Here is a 19,493-nt window from a genome sequence, read left to right on the forward strand (position 1 = left end):
TTATCTGAAGAACATTTTTTGCCTTCTTCAGCTGGACCTGGAACATATCTCAATGGAGAAGTGGAAAACCTCCTACTCTGAGGTGGAGAAATAAGCCAATGTCCAGTCTCTGCTTCCAGGGGTCCTGGTTTTGGATGACTATAAGTCCCATTTCAAACTCTAAAGAATATTGGTATTTCACATTTCAGGAAGTATAAATAAGAATACATTGTGATTCAGCTTTTGATAAAGTCTTCCTTGGAAAAATAAGTTGTATGAGAGATGCAGCTTTATGAACTCACTGAAATAGTACCTCCTTGTGACCTAAAATCTTCGGCTCTTGGTGAGATTAAATGCTCAATATGCAATACACTTGAACCACATTATTAAAATCTCCCATTTCAAAAATGCCTTCTCGGTGTTAAGATTGTCTTTCAACCCAGCCGGGCGCGGTGGCTCACGCCTGTAATCCCAGACCTTTGGGAAGCCGAGGTGGGCGGATCACGAGGTCAGGAGATCGAGACCATCCTGGCTAACATGGTGAAACCCCGTCTCTACTAAAAATACAAAAAAAAAATTAGCCGGGCGCGGTGGTGGGCACCTGTAGTCCCAGCTACTTGGGAGGCTGAGGCAGGAGAATGGCGTGAACCCGGGAGGTGGAGCTTGCAGTGAGCCGACATAGCGCCACTGCAGTCCGGCCTGGGCAAAAGAGTGAGACTCCATCTCAAAAAAAAAAAAAAAAGAAAAGAAAAAAAAAAAGATTGTCTTTCAACTCTCAGCATTGATGAAAGTATAAAAATCATCCACTATAAAAATGTTTCTGCATTTTTACTGAAAGTCATAGTTGAAAATATTGAGCAATGTTCCTGGCCTATAGAAAAAAATGTATCCTAAAGTTAATGTAAGGTCAGACAGAATGCATGTTTTAAAGACATTAAATATGGCATATGCTTCCTAGAAAATCCAGCCTGAGAGACATGTGAGACATATAAGTTTTGAATAAAACAAAACAAACAAACCAGGGATTCATTCAGAACTAAAGAAAATTATGGAACTCAAGGGACCTCTCTGACAAGCGGGACCTCTCCGACAAGCGGCACCTCACTGACTCCAACATTGAAACAACTTCTTTCCCTAACAGGGTTCCACAGCTCAATTTTATAATTAGCGACTACCTTAACCCTAACCAAACAGAGTTTAAGTTGCTTGGCACATCTTAGGCACTCAGCAAACAGTTATCTTTACTGCCAATTATTCCTCCATATTCCACTTGATTTTTCACTGGGCAGCATTTTTGCTCACGCAGACAACATACATATAGCTCACAGCCACAGCCCTTGAATGACCAAAGTATTTCCACAGTCACAGACTTGGAAAGGTTCACATTTGTGGAGAACTAGTGATCTGTATGAAGAATTTTAATCTAAAATTTATAAGTTGTCTACATTCTAGTGTTTTAATAGAAGGGATAGTATTTCTTGATTGTTCTCTTCTACTATTTCTGCTGAGTTTAAGAAAAATAACAGGTAATCGTGATTTCTCTTCTCTACATCTACCATACTACACTTTTGCTCACTTGAAAATGGACACTGCAGTACTGCTGAAATAGTTTCTTCTTTACAAGTGCCAGGGTAAACTCTGGATGATCTGAATTTTCAAGCATTGCACATGTCAGCATTCCAGTGAAAAACAAGCACAGAAGGGAGTTATTTCCATTCACCCAAAAAATCCACAGGCTTGAGTTGACTTGTCTTGTATGCCTAAGGAAACGACAAGTGGTGTCATACTGCTGTAAACTAAAATATTTCCTGCTATTCTTAACAGGATATAAATCTGTCTTTTGGCTGCCCTGCAGTTGTCTTTGTCTGTTACACAAGACACCAAATGGCCCCTTTATGTCCCAGGTTGCCTAATAGGACTGTGTATTTGCTTTTGGGATGGAAAGCAGCTTAATTTAAAGAGAAACATAATTATTATGCTTTCCTAACTTTGGTTGAGAATGCCACATTTATTTCATAAAAAAAAAACATATCATTGAGAATAAGTAGAGTTTAGTAAGGAAGATTTTATTATAAATGTCACAGAGAACATTCTCTCATAGGAAATTAACTAGTGTCTACAGTTGCCTTAAAAGATTTACTATTCTGAGGATATGGCAAAAAATAATACATCTCTGTGGTAATTATTTTGATTTCAATTATGGTTGAATCTACTGTGTCTCATTGCTCTGAAATTGTCATAGACTAAATATTTTGCATGTTTTATGGACTACAAAATTTGACTGTAAGAAGAGTCATCTACTCGTGTTTCTGGACAAACTATGTTGTACATTCTCCTTTTTAGTCCCTAAAATTGTGCAGATAAAATTAGTCTAAAAAGAAATATCAAGGACAACCTTAAGAGAATAAGTGTGTTACAAATGGATAATTTAGAAAATCAGGAAGCAGAGGAGGGGTCAATATGTGTTAAAAGGTCTTCTTTGCACCTGGTCCTCATAGCAGCCTTGGATGTTGAATGCTTGTATCCCCTTTTATATAAGAGGATATGCAGATGTAAAGAAATTAGTTCATTTTCCCAAGGCTATCAACTATGAATGGCCTATTACATATTCAAATTCAACTATGAATGGCCTATTGCATATGCAAATAGAAAGAATCTTCCATGCTCCACAGAAAGGAATTAAACAGCTACCTTTACTTTTGGTATAATGGTTGTATAAGCATCAGGTTCATATTTAGAAGCTACTGTTACCGTCATCTCTCCAACTCATTTCCAACTCCATGCCTCCAAAACAGACACTGGTCCTGTAACAAAGGACAGAGGAGGACACTTAAATATGCTATAATAAAACAATAATTTTTGCAATCGTATACTATTATGAAATCCAATTTGTAATCTCTCTCTAATTCATAAAGGATTCAGATATTTGTAGTAGACATGTCTTGCTTTAACAATCTAAAGCATATTCAGAACCCTGTACTTCCCACTGTCAGTCTATGTTTGTTGCTTTTTGCACTTGTGTATACATTCATCTTCCAAATTATAAGTTCCTTTGAGGGCAGCTATTGTAATATCAAATTCTATTTTCCTTCTGCTGCAAAAATCATCTCTTAACATCCTATTTGACACACATATATATACACATACATACATGATATATTTAATATTAATTGTTCTAATTTTATTAAATAAGACTATAGTAGGAGCCCTCTTGTAAGAAGCTAATAGGATTTAGTTATTTTAATTCCTGTTACTTCAAAAGTTCTAATATTCAGTTTTATACGTGCTTTGTTGGGTATAACATGTGCTCTGAAGTAAGAAGGTTTTTTACTAATTTTGATGTCCTCTCTGGTCTCTGGCCAATTTGTGACACCATGTTTATTTTTAAGATCTGACAGAGGAGGGCTGAACATTTTTGTTTGTGTAAATGAGAATCTAAACATGATCCTTGGCCTATATTCACCACTAATGAGTGATTAAACCAGAAGGAGATTGTATTCTAGGGGTGCAGCTATTTCTGCCTAAAGAGGACATGGTTGGAGAAAATAGAGCAGAAATATATACTATAAAATTAAAAACAGTTAATTTAACATGAACAGAAAGTGGATATGGTTAACATTTTCTGCATATTTTGAGTTAGTCTGGAATTTGTAGCATGATCAATGAAGCATAGTGACACACTTTGAGAGAGATATTGGAAGCCAATATTCATTCATGGGTAGAATGATAAATGAGGCAGCATTATGAATAAACACATTACCAGATTTTTAAAATTGTATTTGGAAAGCATAGTGGCAGCAAGATCTTTTTTCAGTTGTTTGAAAATTGAAACAGTTTTCAAAGAGGCATGGCATTGTAGTAACAGCTACCTTTTTATTGTGATGGGAGGTATGACTTTAATCAAGAATGACACATTTGACAATAAAGAACATGAAGACATTGTTCTGTAACATGAACAGGAAGAGATGGGGGACTGGATACTGCAAAGGATATTCACATGCAATAACTGTACATCAAACACACAAATGAGGGCACCTTCATTACCTATTATTCTAAATCTAAATAAATAAATCTCTATCACATGGACCCATGAAATTTTTTACACAGTTTTTAAAACTCAGTTGTTGACATAGACCTCATTTTTGACTAAGGTAGAGGAAGCAACAGGAACTAGATTAATCCTCATATTTTGTACATAATGACAACATATACTAGCTATTTTTAATCTAAGAATATTATAGATAGAACAAAATATAAAGATATACACAATAGAATACAATTTGACATTATCACCCTTATCACACTCTCCTCTCCTACAAGGCATACTCTGTTCTCTTTTGCTTTCCATGGCAACATAACCCTCATTTTTTGTTTCTTTCTCTTGCTTAGGCTTTTCAGTGTCAAACCTTTCAGACTCACTCAATTCTTCTGATATCTTTCAGAATTAGAGTTCCTGAAAGTATCCTCACAGCTATGCTTATAGCATGTATGATTAAGAGTGGAAAAACTCCAGGAGGTAGGAGAAGCTCTACATCTTTCATGTCATTCTAAAAGATACCGTCTCCTGGTTTTCTTCCATGTGTCAGAAAAAAGAAATTCTGAAAGTATTATTAGGATTGTTATGTTTCAACTTTTAACACAGAACTTTGGCTATCCGTATATCAAGCTATTTTCCTCTCTGAATGCAAATATTACTGCTGGTTACAGTGTTTCCTAAAAATTCGGATTAACTTGCTTTTCTTAGAAACCTTTGGATTATTCCAGAAACAATCTTACATATAGGCTCAGCTATCCTTATTTTCAGAGATAGAAATGGTCTTCTTGTTATACATTTCTATCAAGTAGAACTCTTAAAAATATATAATCAAAATGCTTAACAGATTCAAAATTTGATTTTCAAAATAACTTTACCACAAGGAAAAAAATAAACATAGATGGAAGTTAATTTTGCTTTCTAGTTCTGTAGAGTGGTACTAACCATAGGTAGAAATTGGAGAAGCTCAGAAGGGAGATTTTGGGGGGAATTGTGATGCGTTTAATTTTAAATATATTTTCTTTAGGATTATGAAAAAGTATTTAAGAGAAAATATCCTCCAGATTATGGGAAATGGGAATGCCTAGAGTTCTGTTATCTTGGTAACTATGTTGGCATTATTGCTACTCTTTACCTAATCCCAAGAACTGGGCATATGTCATTGCAGAAGTTTTAAAGATTACACTCCTTAAATGGTTTCTGTACTATGAATAAAGTACAGAAATATACTTCTAAGATTGATCTAGATTCTTTTTAGTCACAGGTTCCTGTTTTCTTGCTCTAAAGTAAACAATAATGAATAAAATAATGTTCTACCTATGGCATCTACATGACTTTCCCACTTTCCATCTCTTATTAGAACTGTTGGCAAAGGTGACAAACTACAGTATTTCTAATGCCCTCTCCAAACATCTACAATATTTCATCCTTCCTTTAAATACTATTTTTTACCAATTTATATTTTACACAAAATCCTCATATTTTAGAGCAACAGAGAATTTTTACAAACCTTGGAAACTGTAAATCATGGCAGATGGAACACAAGTTGTCCACTTTATATGTATATTTCATAACTCTTTATGAGCATAGGTTAAACAATGCTAATTTTAAAATAAATATAAAAAATTAAATAACTCTAAAGAACAAAACAAATTCCTTTGTTTGAAAATAAAAGAAAAACCCTAAACTCATGCTAATGCGAATAGAAATGCATTCAGAAAAAATCCTAAAATTATCTTTTCTCACTTGTTAAGAGATATATTATACTATTTGCTTCTCAGAAGATATACATTTCTGTCTTACAGATGAGAATGCAGGCATAGATAAATATATTATTGTTATTTGCTTCAAATCATAGTAAGTAGCCAAAACAGGATTCAATAACCAGAATTAGAGTTTTTACTTAATTTCCAAATTTTAAGAATTTATTTTAGCCATGCTTTATACCTTGATCAGAATCAAACAAAATTTAGGAAATGTGAAATTTAAATATACATATATAAAATGGCACTGACAATTATGTATTCATGAAAAACACTATTTTTAAGATCTAGAAAATAACACTATGAACTCTGGTTACATTATTAAAATATAAACACATAATTCCTAAATATGTTAATTTTAAATAAGAATAATAAAATAAAATGAACTGAACATTCCCTAATAATCATAAGTATAGAGTAAGATTATCCCTTCTCCATGAGCAGCTGTTAAACATGTTTTCTTTCCTTTATTTAAAAGAAAAAACAAGTTAACTTTTGACAAAACAGTGTAAAGTTATTAACTATTTCTACAGTGGTTTACTTACATCCTAGAAAGTGATGAAGTTTAAATGTAACCAACTAAGCCCCAATAACTATAACTATTTTAATAAAAGAAATTTTGCAGATGTTTTCTTTTTGTGTGGTTCTCATACTACTGCAGTTTCCCCTAGCTAATTCCTAATGAAAAGCCACTAGAGGGTGACCAAGCATCATTACCTTTTCTTCTCTTGCTCTGGTTACTAATATTATTTAGGTTATATTAACATTGTATATATCTCTTAATATGAATTATTTCATACGTATTCTTGGAGATTTTTCATTACTAGAATTGTTTGAACAAAAGTGAATTCAATACCAATTAGTCAAAAGAAGTTTAATTATTTCTAACACTCTCATTTCACTTGGTCTTAAATAAAAGATATGACGAAGCATTTGCAATCCTTTTAAAGTTTAAATAAAGGTCAAATGAGAATTATGAAATTTTTACTCCACAAGAAGTGCATTATTCAGAATTCTCCAGAGAAACAGAACCAAAGGATATACATTTTGGAAGAAATTTATTATAAGAAATTGGTTCATGCTAACTCTTATATTAACAGAGGCAATTATGGAAGTTGAGCAGTTCTACAATCTGCCCTCTGCAACCTGGAGATCCAGGCGAGCTGGTGATATAATTCAGTCCAAATCCAAAGTCCTGAGAACCAGGAGTGCCAATGCCAAGGCTGGTGAATATAGATGTTCCAACTCAAACAATCAGGCAGAAGGGAAAAGTGAATTCCTTCTTCTGCTGCCTTTTTTTTTTTTTTTTCATTCTTTTCAGGTACTCAGCGAAGTGGAGTATGCCCAGGCACACGGAGGAGGAGTACCATCTACTTTACTGGGTCCACCTACTCAATACTAATCTTATTCGGAAACATCCTCACAGACAGACCAAAAAAAACGTTTAATCTGGGCACCTCTTGGCACAGTCAAATTGAAACATAAAATTAATCATTGCAAGAAGTAAATTTTTATTCCCTCTGGACTATATACATTATAAAATTAACCACAATTTTGAAAATAAAATATATAATTCTGAAAACAATGTCTTAGCATTTCTTAGCCTTTGAAAAATTATTTGATAACATAATAATTATAAGCAGCAGGTATATTTTGAGAAAATCAATCAATTTCTTGGCATACAATTAAATTTTTGTTTTATTCTATTTTTTTCCTGAAGTATATCCTGAGAAGTCTTACTAAAATATATATTAATAATTACAAATAAAAATAATAGTATAATTTTATAGTATAATTATATATATAATTTAAAAAGTTTTAAAAAGAAGTCGTTTTAATCTCAAGGGTCTGAAGTGTATTAAGAAACTTGACAAAACACAAATTATTGACTGACATTTCTACAACAATGATCAACTATACAATAAATAAATATTTTATTTACAAAAATTGAATGAATATTTATTATTTAAATCAATGACAACAGAAAGAGAAGTAGTTAAAAAATAAGTATTTACCTGTCAATTCTCCCGGTCTTTAGACCATGAAGCAGGCTATTACTAAAAAGGAGGTCAATACTTTATTCTTGTTTTTCAGACAGTATGATCTGGAGTTGAACTACTGAGCTTTGTTTGAATCTGAGCTGTCATTTGCTAATTATGTGACCTTGAGAAAACTAGTTAACCTCTTTAAGTCACAGTTATCTCACCCCTAAAATTGGGAGAATAAATAGTTCCTATCTCAGGGGATTGCTCGGTGGATTCCCTAAGATAACGTGTATGATGCATTATGCAGTATGTGCGGCACAGAACTCCTACTCAATAAATGTAAATTATATTAATGATGAGCTTTGCATCTTGATGAGTAGGTTGGGCAAAAGATATCATCTTTATAGTACTTCTAGCCTTGGTTTGCAGACAGATTAGTTACTGCTATAAACTATTCCTTCCTCTCTTAGCTTTCAAATTCTCCTTCACGGTTCCTCAAATTACCCATTTAAGGATTTTGGATACCTAATTTAATTTAACAAACATTTATGAAATCATGTATAATAATTGCAATGCTTATAAACCCTTGCTTAGGGCCTGGCAGTATGGTAGATTCAATGAGACACTGAAACAAAATATAAAACGGTAGTCTATCATAAAAGGTGAGAGGAGAGTGAGCTGGAGTAGTTGAGGGAAGGGGAAGGGAAAGAAATGAAGGGAGGATGAGAGAGATTGAGAGAGGAGGGGAGGGGATGGGAGGGGCGGGGAACTAAGTTTCCTCACTCAGGCAATGCAAAGAAACCTTAAGATTATAACCATGTTCAACATATGATAGCACTACCTATCATAGCACTCTATATTTAGTCACCTGCTTAATGGCTATGTTCACTAAGTGACCTGAGGTCTATTAAGGTAAGATCCCTGACTATTCCTTACCTCTGTATCCTTGGTCTTTGCCTGGCTCCTGCCACTTGGAAAGGATACAAAAATATTTATTAAACTAATAAATAAAAACTATCTTATCTCCTGCGGGTGATATTTTTGATAAATTTTATTTTTAGCACAGTTCAATTTGCAAAACATTTGGGAAGATAGTACAGAATGTTGCCACATACCTCCTAATGTTTCCCCTATTACTAACATCTTTCATTAATATGTTACATTTGTTACAATTAATGAACCAATATTAATACATTATTTTTAACTAAAGACTACACTTTTTTTCAGGTTTATTTAGTTTCAACCTAATGTCCTTTCTCTGTTCCAGAATTTCATCCAGGAAACCATATACCATTTAGTCACTCTGTCTTTTTTTAGCTTTCTTTCATGTGACACTTTCTCAGATTTTCCTTGTTTTTGACAATCATGAAACTTTTGAGAAATACGGGTCAGGTATTTTATAGAATGTCTTTCAACTGGAATTTCTTTGATGTTTTTCTTGATGAATTTTTTGATGATTGGTCCTGGGCTATAGGTTATGCCTTCAGGGAAAGAATACCACAGAGGTAAAGTGCCATTTTCATTACATCGTATTAAAGGTATCCACGACTGATCACTGTTGATGTTGACCTTAACACTAATCTTGGCTGAGGTAGTGTTTATCAAGTTTCTCCACTGTAAAATTATTATTTTTCTAGAACTCCTGGGCTCCAGTGATCCTCCTGCCTCAGCCTCCCAAAGTGCTGAGATTACAGGTGTGAGCCACTGCACCTGGCCAACTTACACGTTTTATCAAGTGATTTATGTTCAGATCCAGTTTATGTTGATCTGTCATTTCACTACTCAAGAAAAATCATAGTTCTTTAACTTCTACATTGTCTGGAGGACTCTAACATAAACCTCTTCATAGTTGTAGGATGATTAAAATCAATGAAGAGAAATAGTTGGACTAGTGACCAAGGCCTTCACCATCATTTTTTTTAGACTACAGTTGCTTACCTTAGCTTTTGAAAAACTGGTAACTCCTACTCAGTCATTCACTTAAATTTTCTATCAGGCATGATAATTGATGGTGGTAAAGAAAAGAAAGGAAGTCCGAGGAGAACATGAGAAGTAAAGGAATAGAGATTAAAGGAAAGACCCTATAGCTGAAAGACTATCAGAAACATGTAATTTTCAGGGTATTGGAGCTGAACTGTGACCCTCAAAAATATATGACTATGTACTAAACCTTGGAAGACTGTGAGTGTTACCTTATTTGGAAAAATAATCTATACAGATGTAATTATGTTAAGAGTCTTGAAATAAGAAGATCATCCTGGGTTGTCCACATGGTCCCTAAATCCAATGTTAAATGTCCTTATAAGAGACAAACAGAGGGAAGACACACAGAGGAGAAAGCCATGGGAAGACAGAGGCAGAGACTGCAGAAATGCAAGAAATGGAGTCTCCCTAGTCCACCCCAAGGACGCATGACCCTGCAGCATTATACACTTTTGTCCTCCAGTACTGTGAGAAAATAAATTTCTGTTGTTTAAGCCACCACGTTTATGGTTATTTTTAATGGCCCCTTGGGAAATTAGTACAGGAGGACTTCTTTACAAATCATCACAGTTATCAATAAAGAATACATAAATGATCATAGCTAAAAACTGGAAGATTTATGTATGAAATGTGTGTGCTGAGTAATGCAAAGTTTTGCAGTGGAATAGGATGGCCTAATTAAAGTATCAGTGACTTTTTAGTTTTTCAAAGTGCTCCTAGATCTTCTTTGGTTTTATTTTTATGTTCATTTTCATGGACATTATTGGTACTACAGAACAGGTGAAACTGACTTAAGTTTCTCAGTTTAAGGAATTGATGTATTTTCTTTTTCTTTTCTTTCACAGTTTCAGCATATTTCTGACAAATACACTTTTCCTGGCCCCCTTCTCCTACAAAGGTAGAGGTGGCAGTACGTGTGGTTTTGGATGAACCTCTGATGCTGTGCTTATCATTACTGTGTATTGAAAATACATACTGTTCAGTGCTCAATTATTTCATATCAAGAAAAAGTAGAAATTGGAGTTTATAAGACTCTAATAATAGTAAATTATTATGCATGAGGCATTCTGTTAAGTATATTCATGTACTGTTTGATTTATTCTTCACAACACCCTTATTAGGGGCTACTGCTGTGTCTTGTAGATGGAGAAATTTAAACCAATGAGCTTGTTAAAAGTCATACAGCTGAGAGGAGATAGGATTACAATTCTAACATGGATCTGTCATTGTCCAGAAATATATCATTTAATCAAAATACCCTTTATAAGCAGATAATCACCCTATCTTAACAGTTTGACACAGAGTCAATGTTTAACTAATAGTACTTGAGATTAACTTTATATTGCCTAATGGGGCAATAAATAAGGCAATGAAGAGGTAGGCCTTCAAGAACATGTCTTTCTTAGAGGAAAAACTGCCCAAAGCTGTCCCTCCAAAATAGGCTGCAGTATACTACTAGGATCACAAAATGTGGATGTTTTCAGATAAAATGTGTCCTAGAGTTAGTATAAAACTCTTGTTTTATGAATGAGGAAAATGAAGGTAGAGGTATTTATTGATTTGCTCAGGTATTACATAGTGATAGAACTTGGACTAGAAGTACTGGTATTCAGCAGGACTAAGGTTATTAATGTTGCACCTCTTGGCATACATACTTTAAAACAGTCAAGTCCAAACTACTGTGGAAGAAACTTTATTTATAAAAAACTTTTTACTAAAAATGTTTGTAATGGAATATTTGAATTACGGTGGAAAAGCATATGCACCAAGAGACTCCAGATGTGACCATTAAAGAGAAGAATTTTATCAAGTAGAAGTAATTTATATGGTTTGGGCTCATTATTAGTTATATTACAGCCATTTAAAAATGCACGCTTACTTCCAATATTCTGTAAAAGGGTCAACCAAGTAGGTCTGTTATGCTGCCTGAAGAAATAATAAGTTCGTCTTTGACCTAGTCTCTGCCTGCTTCTAGTTTTTTGCCTATTCTAATTAATAAAGCAAGTAAGCTAAATTAAGAAATCAGGCCGTGTGTGGTGGCTAACGCCTGTAATCCCAGCACTTTGGGAGGCCAAGGTGGGCAGATCACGAGGTCAGGAGATCGAGACTATCCTGGTTAATACGGTGAAACCCCGTCTCTACTAAAAATACAAAAAATTAGCCGGGCATGGTGGCCGGCGCTGAGACAGGAGAATGGCGTGAACCCAGGAGACAGAGCTTGCAGTGAGCCGAGATAGTGCCACTGCACTCCAGCATGGGCGACAGAGTAAGACTCTGTCTCAAAAAAGAAAAAAAAAAATCACAAACTGGTATTTTGTTTTGCCACCATAATTTTTAAAAATTTATATGCAATAAAATAATTTGGTTTTCTGTGTACAGTTTTTTAATTTTCAGTACATGCATAGATTCATGTCATCACCATAATAATCAAGATACAGAAAATTTCCATCATCACAAAATATTCCTTGTATATTTTGTATATCCCTTTATAGTCATACTCTTTCTCCTCTGCCACCCTTACTCCCTGGCAACCACTGATCCGTTCTCTGTCTCTGTAGACTTGCGTTTTCTGTCATATAAATGAATTAACAGAGAATGAAACCTTTTGAGACTAGCTTCTTTCCCTCTGCATAATGCCTTTGAGATTTGTTCATGTTATGTTGTTGAGGGTATCAACAGTTTTTTTTTTTTTTTTTTTTAGATCGCTGACTAGTTTTTCACTGTATGGATGTGCCAGAGATTATCTATTCAACTATTGCATGGGATTAGAGTTGGTTCCAGTTTTGGGCAATTATGAATGAAACTACTGTAAACATTCATATACACGGTTGTGTTTAAACATAAGTTTTCATTTTTCTAGGATGAGTACTTAGGAGCATCATTGCTAGGTCAAACAGTTAAGTGTATATTCAACATTATAAGAGACCTCTAAACTATTTTCCTGAGTAGATGTCACATTTTGCATTCACAACAGCAAAATATTAGACTTCAAATGGCTCTTTATTTTTACCAATCCTCAGTACTGTCAATATGTTTTTATTTTAGCCATTCTAAGAGGTGTCTAATGGTATGAAGTGATATCTCAGTGTGGTTTTAGTTTGCTTTTGCCCGGTGGGCTATTCAGAAACATGTTTGATTTCCAACTATGCCTGGGTATGTACGTGTGTTGGGGGGATTTTCCATACATCTTTTTAAATGATTTCTATTTAATCCCACTATGTGTAGATAATGCATTGATTTTTTAAATTATTTTAATTTGTTTTAGCATTATGGCTTATTCTGGTGAATTTTCCATGTGCCCTTGAAAATTATTTGCATTTCTTCTACTATTGAGTAGAGTGTCCATAAATGCCAATTAGTTCCAGTTGATGGATAGTGTTGTTTAATTTTTAAAACATTTTTGATGGTTGCTTTGTCTCTTTGTTCTAATTTTAATTTAATTTTTAATTTTTATGGATACATAATAGTTGTATATTTGTTCTATTCATTACCCAGAAAAGACAGTTTAAATCTCCAACTCTAATTTTTAACTTCTCCATTTCTCCTTTCAGTTCTATCGGTGTTTCCATCATGCATTTTTGAAGCTCTATTTTTTGGTACATAATCTAATTGATATGACTTCTTGGTAAATTGATGCTTTTAATCATTGTGTAAGGTCACTCTTAATCTCTCACAGTTTTCCTTGCTGCAAAGTCTATTTTATTTGTTGATATAGCACTCAAAGTTTCTTAAGATTAGTGTTTTCATGGTTTATATTTCTCTACCCTTTTGCTTTTAAACTACAAATCATTATATTTACAGTGAATTTCTGGCTGGTTGCGGTGGCTCATGCCTGTAATCCCAGCACTTTGGGAGGCCGAGTCAGGTGGATCACTTGAGGGCAGGAGTTTGAGACCAACCTGACCAACATGGTGAAACCCCATCTCTACTAAAAATACAAAATCAGCTGGGTGTGGTGGCACATGCCTGTAATCCCAGCTACTTGGAAGGCTGGGGCAGGAGAATTGCTTGAATCCAAGAGGCAGAGGTTGCAGTGAACTGAGACCCTGCCACTGCACTCCAGCCTAGGCAACAAGAGCAAAACTCCATCTCAAAAAGAGAAAAAAAAAGTGAATTTCTTATAAACAGCATATAGTTGCTTCTTTTTGTTGTAATAATTTTATAGTCTGCCTTTTAAGTGATCTATTGAAACTATTTACATTTAATGTAATTTTTGATGGATTTGGAGACATATCAAACATTTTACTATTTGCTTTATCTTGATATCTTCTGTGTTCTTGTTTCTCTGTTTCCTATTTCCTACTTTCTTTTGGATTGCTCGAATATTTGTTAGTAATCCATTTAAATTTATTTAGAGTTTTAGCTTTAACTATTTCTATAGTTATTTAGTTGTTGTTCTTTTTCTTCAACTTATATTGTGAATATTTTAGGCATTATAGGCCATGCAATCTCAGTTGTAAATACTCAGCTTTGCCGCAGCCATTTATAAATTAATGTGGATGACAGTGTTCCAATAACATTTTATTGGCAGCTGGTCTATGGGCTGTAGTTTGCCAAACCCTGCTCTAGAGACCACAGGCCTAGCCACCATTCCCTACTTCTCCATGCGAATCACTTTTTCTCATCCAGCCCTATAAAATTGACCTTGCTTTCCATTGTTATAAGTAACGAGAGTCAGTTATGATTATATTACTATTTTATCAGAAATTCATGTACTTATTAGAATTTAAATATTTATTTAAATTGACAAGTAAAAATTGTATATATTTATAGTGTACAACATGATATTTTGAAATATGTATACATTGTAGAATGAGTAAATCAAGCTATTTAACATATACCTTACCTCCCATAATTATCATGTTTTTTTTGCAGTGAGAACATTTAAAATCTACTGTTTCAGCAATTTTCAAATATACAATATATTATTATGATCTGTAGTCACTAAGATATACAACAGCTCTCTTGGACTTATTCATCCTAATTTAAATGTTGTCCTTTGACCAATATCTCCCTATTTCCCCCCTGCCCCTCAGCCTTTGGTAACCACGATTTTAGTATTTCACTGAGTTCAACATGTTTACACTCCAAATATGTGAAATCATTAGGTATTTGTGTTTCTGTGCCTGGCTTATTTCACTTAACATAATGTCCTCCTGATTCATCCATGCTGTCACAAATGACAGAATTTCCTATTTTTAAGGCTTAATCATATTCCATTGTGTATATATGCGACATTTTAAAAATTCATTCATCTGTTGTTGGAAACAATGTCCATTTCTTGGCTATTTTGAATATTGCTGCAATGAACATGGGGATGCAAATATCTCTTTGACATATCTATTTCATATCCTCTGGATCATATGGTAGCGGTAGTTCTATTTTTAACTTTTTGAAGAGTCACCATACTATTTTTTATATGGCTGTACTAATTTACATTCTCACCAACAGTATACAAGGACTCCCTTTTCTCTACATCTTCACTTGCTTTCTTTTGTCTTTTTAATAATGCTGTAGAATGGACTTTAAAAAAAAAAAAAAGGATCTTTCTCTGTAGCCCAGGCTAGAGTGCAGTGGTGCCATCATGGCTTACTGCAACCTCAACCTCCTAGGCTCAAGGGATCCTCCCACCTCAGCCAACTAGCTGAGACTACAGGTGTGTGCCACCATACCCAGTTATTTTTTTTTTCTGTAGAGGCAGGATCTCACTATGTTGTCCAGGCTAGTCTTGAACTCCTGGGCTCAAGTGATCCTCTTGCCGTGGCCTCCTAAAGTTCTGGGACTACAAGTATAAGCCACTGTGTCTGGCTGAGAATGGGCTTTTTAAATTTGAGATTTCTGTCACTGTTTTCCTTTTTGCTGTTTATTTTTATTACATCAATTCCCTTTAATTTACTGAATATCCAACTAACCACCTTTGTAGTAAAACACAGCCAGCCAGATAATATTTCCAGGAGTGGTTGCTGACTTTATTGCCTTCTGAAATTTCAGACAATGCTTATTATTATCAGTACAAAGTTACATTGAAGGCTGATGTTAAGCAAACAGCCAATTCAAATTTTTGCCTTGAGAAATTGAGAAATGGTAAAGAGAATGAGGGATTGAGAAAGGGTAAAGACAAGTCAGATAAGAGAAAATAAAAGTGAATTCAACATTTATTAAAGAAAGTAACATGAAACATTATTAGCCTCAATCTTTTTATTAGTTTTTCTAAAAATCAACTCAAGATGGATTAAAGATCGTAAACCCAAAACTATAAAAACCCTAGAAGAAAACCTAGGCAATACCATTCAGGACATAAGCACTGGCAAAGATGTGATGATGAAGATACCAAAAGCCATTCTAACAAAAGCAAAAATTGACAAATGGGATCTAATCTGACAAAGGTCTAATACCCAGCTCTATGAGAAAGTTAAACAAGTTTACAAGAGAAAAACAAACAATCTCATTAAAAAGTGGGCAACAGACATGAACAGACACTTCTCAAAAGAAAAGACACTTCTCATACTTTCGGCCAAAAATCACATAAAAAAAGCCCAACATCACTGATTATTAGAGAAATGCAAATCAAAACCACAATGAGATACCATCTCACACTAATCAGAGTGGCTATTTGTGGGGAGTGTATGACAACACATTCAAGCTTATGTGCAAGGCATTTGAGGTCGAGGCATGGAAAAATGCTGAGGCACTATGTGCATATTGTTTGTGCATGAGACTGTAACTCCTTGACTCTCAAAACAGGACAAGGAACAGGATGTGTGATAAGGAGTGCTGAACACAACACCTAAGAATGTGGTTTGAGTGTTTTTAGATGTAATAAACAAGGCCATTTGCGTCTCATGACCCGAGCACAAATAGCCACCTCGTAGATATTTCTTGTTTGCCTGAATTGTAGTTCAACAAACCTTCTCAATAAATACGTGGCAGACGGATCTTTTTAGATCCATCTTTGTAGATGCTTTAGCTCAGGCTCAGGTGGACGGCCGTCTTTTTCCTCATTGCTCGCAGCACTCCCTTGGAGGAGTTGCTCCTCACCCCATTCAGCTATAATTGTCTGAATACTTATTTCTCGGTGTTCACTGCAGACCAACCTGCAAGTGGTGACCCTGACATGATTGCCTTTAAGTTAAACGCATGGAGTAGGATGACTCACCAGTCTTCGGGGAATACCGGTAAGGGACAGTCCCGACCCGTTTTCAGGACAGGACCAACCCGTATAATACTAGGGGTTGGGTTACCATGGGCTAGGAGTTGACCAAAAAGCAGAAAGTATTTTTTAAAACAGTGCAACAATTACTTAAGGCTATCCAGTTCACGGTAGAGTCTGGAGCTTTGCATAAGCTTGTGCTTTTAATTTGGCAGGAATGCCCTTGGTTCCCTGATCAAGGAACATTAGAGTTATGGGAGCAGGTGGGATGCTGCCTGAAAAGAGGATTTGAGCAGGGCAATTTTACCAAACCACCTGGAGTCTGGTACGCTCTGCGTTGTACCCTCTTTATATTCCAGATCGTAGTCAGTCAGATCGCCCATTTTCTTCACCTGAAGGGAATTCAGAAGATTTACAGGGAAAGGAAACACAGGAACCAGAACAACAGGGAGGGGCTCCTCCCCCCACTTTATTCCCTTCAGTGCAGCATAAAGAAGAGACTTTTTCTCGCAATGATGAGGACGGACCAGAGCCTTTTCCTCCCCCAAGAGAAAAGCCATTGCCCTCTTTTCCTCCACCCTTAAGAAGACCTTCATTCATTGGCCCCGTTCAGGCAACAGCATCTCCCACCCACCTTGAGGAGATTGGAGGCCACCCAAGAGACGGTTCTTGGATAAGACCTCCAGCCAGCGAACATCTATCTATATGACTGGGTGGCCGCATCCCCTCGACAAACTTCCCTACTAGAGAGATGCCTCCAGGAGGGACTTAGGGAGACCCTGAGGCGCTTTTTGGTGCATTCCCTGCCATTGTTCAAAATAACAGGAGACAGCATGAAAGCTTGCCTGTCACTGTCTTTAAGGAGTCAAAAAAAAGTATCTGCGAAAATGGTGTACATTCATCCTTTACTCGGGATGGTTGAGGCTCTGGGAAATGGTTATGAGATGATTCTGCATGATTGGAAAACTCTGGTAAAAGTTTTGGTCTCAGCTGCTGAATATACTGTGTAGTGGAGTGAGTATAGTGATCTAGCCATGCAGCAATCTTTGCAAAATTTGGATAATAATATCCCAATACAGCTTGATATGCTATTGGGAACAGGGCCTTTTGCTTTAGCTCAGGCTCAGGTGCACAGTCATCTATTTCCTCAATGCTCGCAGCTGGTGATACAGGCATGGAAGAGAATACCCATGGGACAATCCCAGGGTTCCTCTGTGATAGTTAGACAGAGTCCCACAAAAACATACATCAAATTTATCATCTGATTGCTGGCTGCAATCGAAAGACAGGTACCCCATCCTGAAGCCACCAAACTTCTTATGTTGCAATTGGCTTTTGAAAATGCAAATAAGGATTGTCAGGCAGCAACAACCCCAGTCCGAGCCACTGCCACTGCCACTGCCACTGAAATTGGTGTGTTTACTGAACTGTGCCAGGATGTAGGCACTACAACTCATCTGGCTCAGACTTTTCCTGCAATGATGACCAGGGCCACGTGTTATAATTGTGGTTGAACTAGGCATATGGCCAAAGAATGCCGACAAAAGGGAGTCCCAGAGAAATCAAAGGCCCCTAAAATACCCACTAAAGAATGCCAGTGATGCGGTAAATGTAAACACTGGGCTAACAAATCAAAATTTGATAAGGAAGGAAACTCATTATCGGGAAATGGGAAAAGGGGTGAGACCTTCAGCACCCAGAAAAGTCAATGGAGGAACACCAATCTCCAAACTTGGGGGATGGCTTTCCCTCCCGAGTCAGGACCAGAAGTAGCATCCATGACCTCTCTTCCACCACCTCTGGCAGCACAGGGCTGGACCTCGCAGTCATAACGGACATGGTGCTTAAAGAGCAAGATGGGGTCCAGCTGATTTCAACTGGGATCTATGGCCCATTACCCAGAGGGACATTTGGATTGATTATTGGAAGGTCTTCTAGTACACTTAAAGGAATTCAAATTTTCCCTGGAGTTACAGATTCAGATTATTTAGGAGAACTAAAACTTATGGCACAGGTGTCAGGGGTCCACACCATCTCTAAAGGAACTCACCTTGCTCAGATTATTCTTATTCCTGATCTTCAAGGTAATGCTCAACAGAGACCACAGGGCTTCAGGATTCGGCCACTCAGGCATGAAAGTTTTTTGAAGTAGTTTAGTGTCATCTCATAGTCCATACTTGGAAGTAACAATTAATGGAGTTATTTTTATGGGAATTATTGACACAGGGCCAATCAAACTATTATAGCTAAAAAACAGTGGCCTTCAGATTGGTCTTCCTCTCCTGCCTTATCATGTGTGTTGGAGGGTATCAACAGCAGTTAAAAAGTAGGCATATCCTTCCACTTTTGGGTTGGGAAGGCAAGGTCGCCCATCTTCAGCCCTTTATCTTAGAAATTCCATTTTCTCTGTGGGGACAAGATGCCCTAGAAAAGGGGGGCTTAAACCTCTCTGTCCCACCGCCCTTTTGGTAGGGGCCACGGCTCCTTTGAAAATTATCAAAATCAAGTGGAAAACTACCAGTCCAGTATGGGTGGAGTAGGGGTCCATTAAGAAGGAAAAACTGGAGCATATTCAATGTCTAGTACAAGAACAACTAGAT

General features: G+C 36.0%; 1 long non-coding RNA gene across 1 annotated transcript in view; it reads right to left on the reverse strand.

Annotated features, from left to right (window-relative positions):
- The window catches only part of LOC105375911 (uncharacterized), a 268,808-nt gene that overhangs the window by 230,472 nt on the left and 18,843 nt on the right, over nucleotides 1-19,493 (reverse strand). Inside the window, exon 2 of the long non-coding RNA XR_007060972.1 lies at nucleotides 2,671-2,783. This is a non-coding gene — a long non-coding RNA (uncharacterized LOC105375911). The remainder of the gene's footprint in view (nucleotides 1-2,670; nucleotides 2,784-19,493) is intronic.

The sequence above is a fragment of the Homo sapiens genome, chromosome 8 (genome assembly GCF_000001405.40).
Source record: "Homo sapiens chromosome 8, GRCh38.p14 Primary Assembly".
Lineage (NCBI taxonomy): Eukaryota > Metazoa > Chordata > Mammalia > Primates > Hominidae > Homo > Homo sapiens.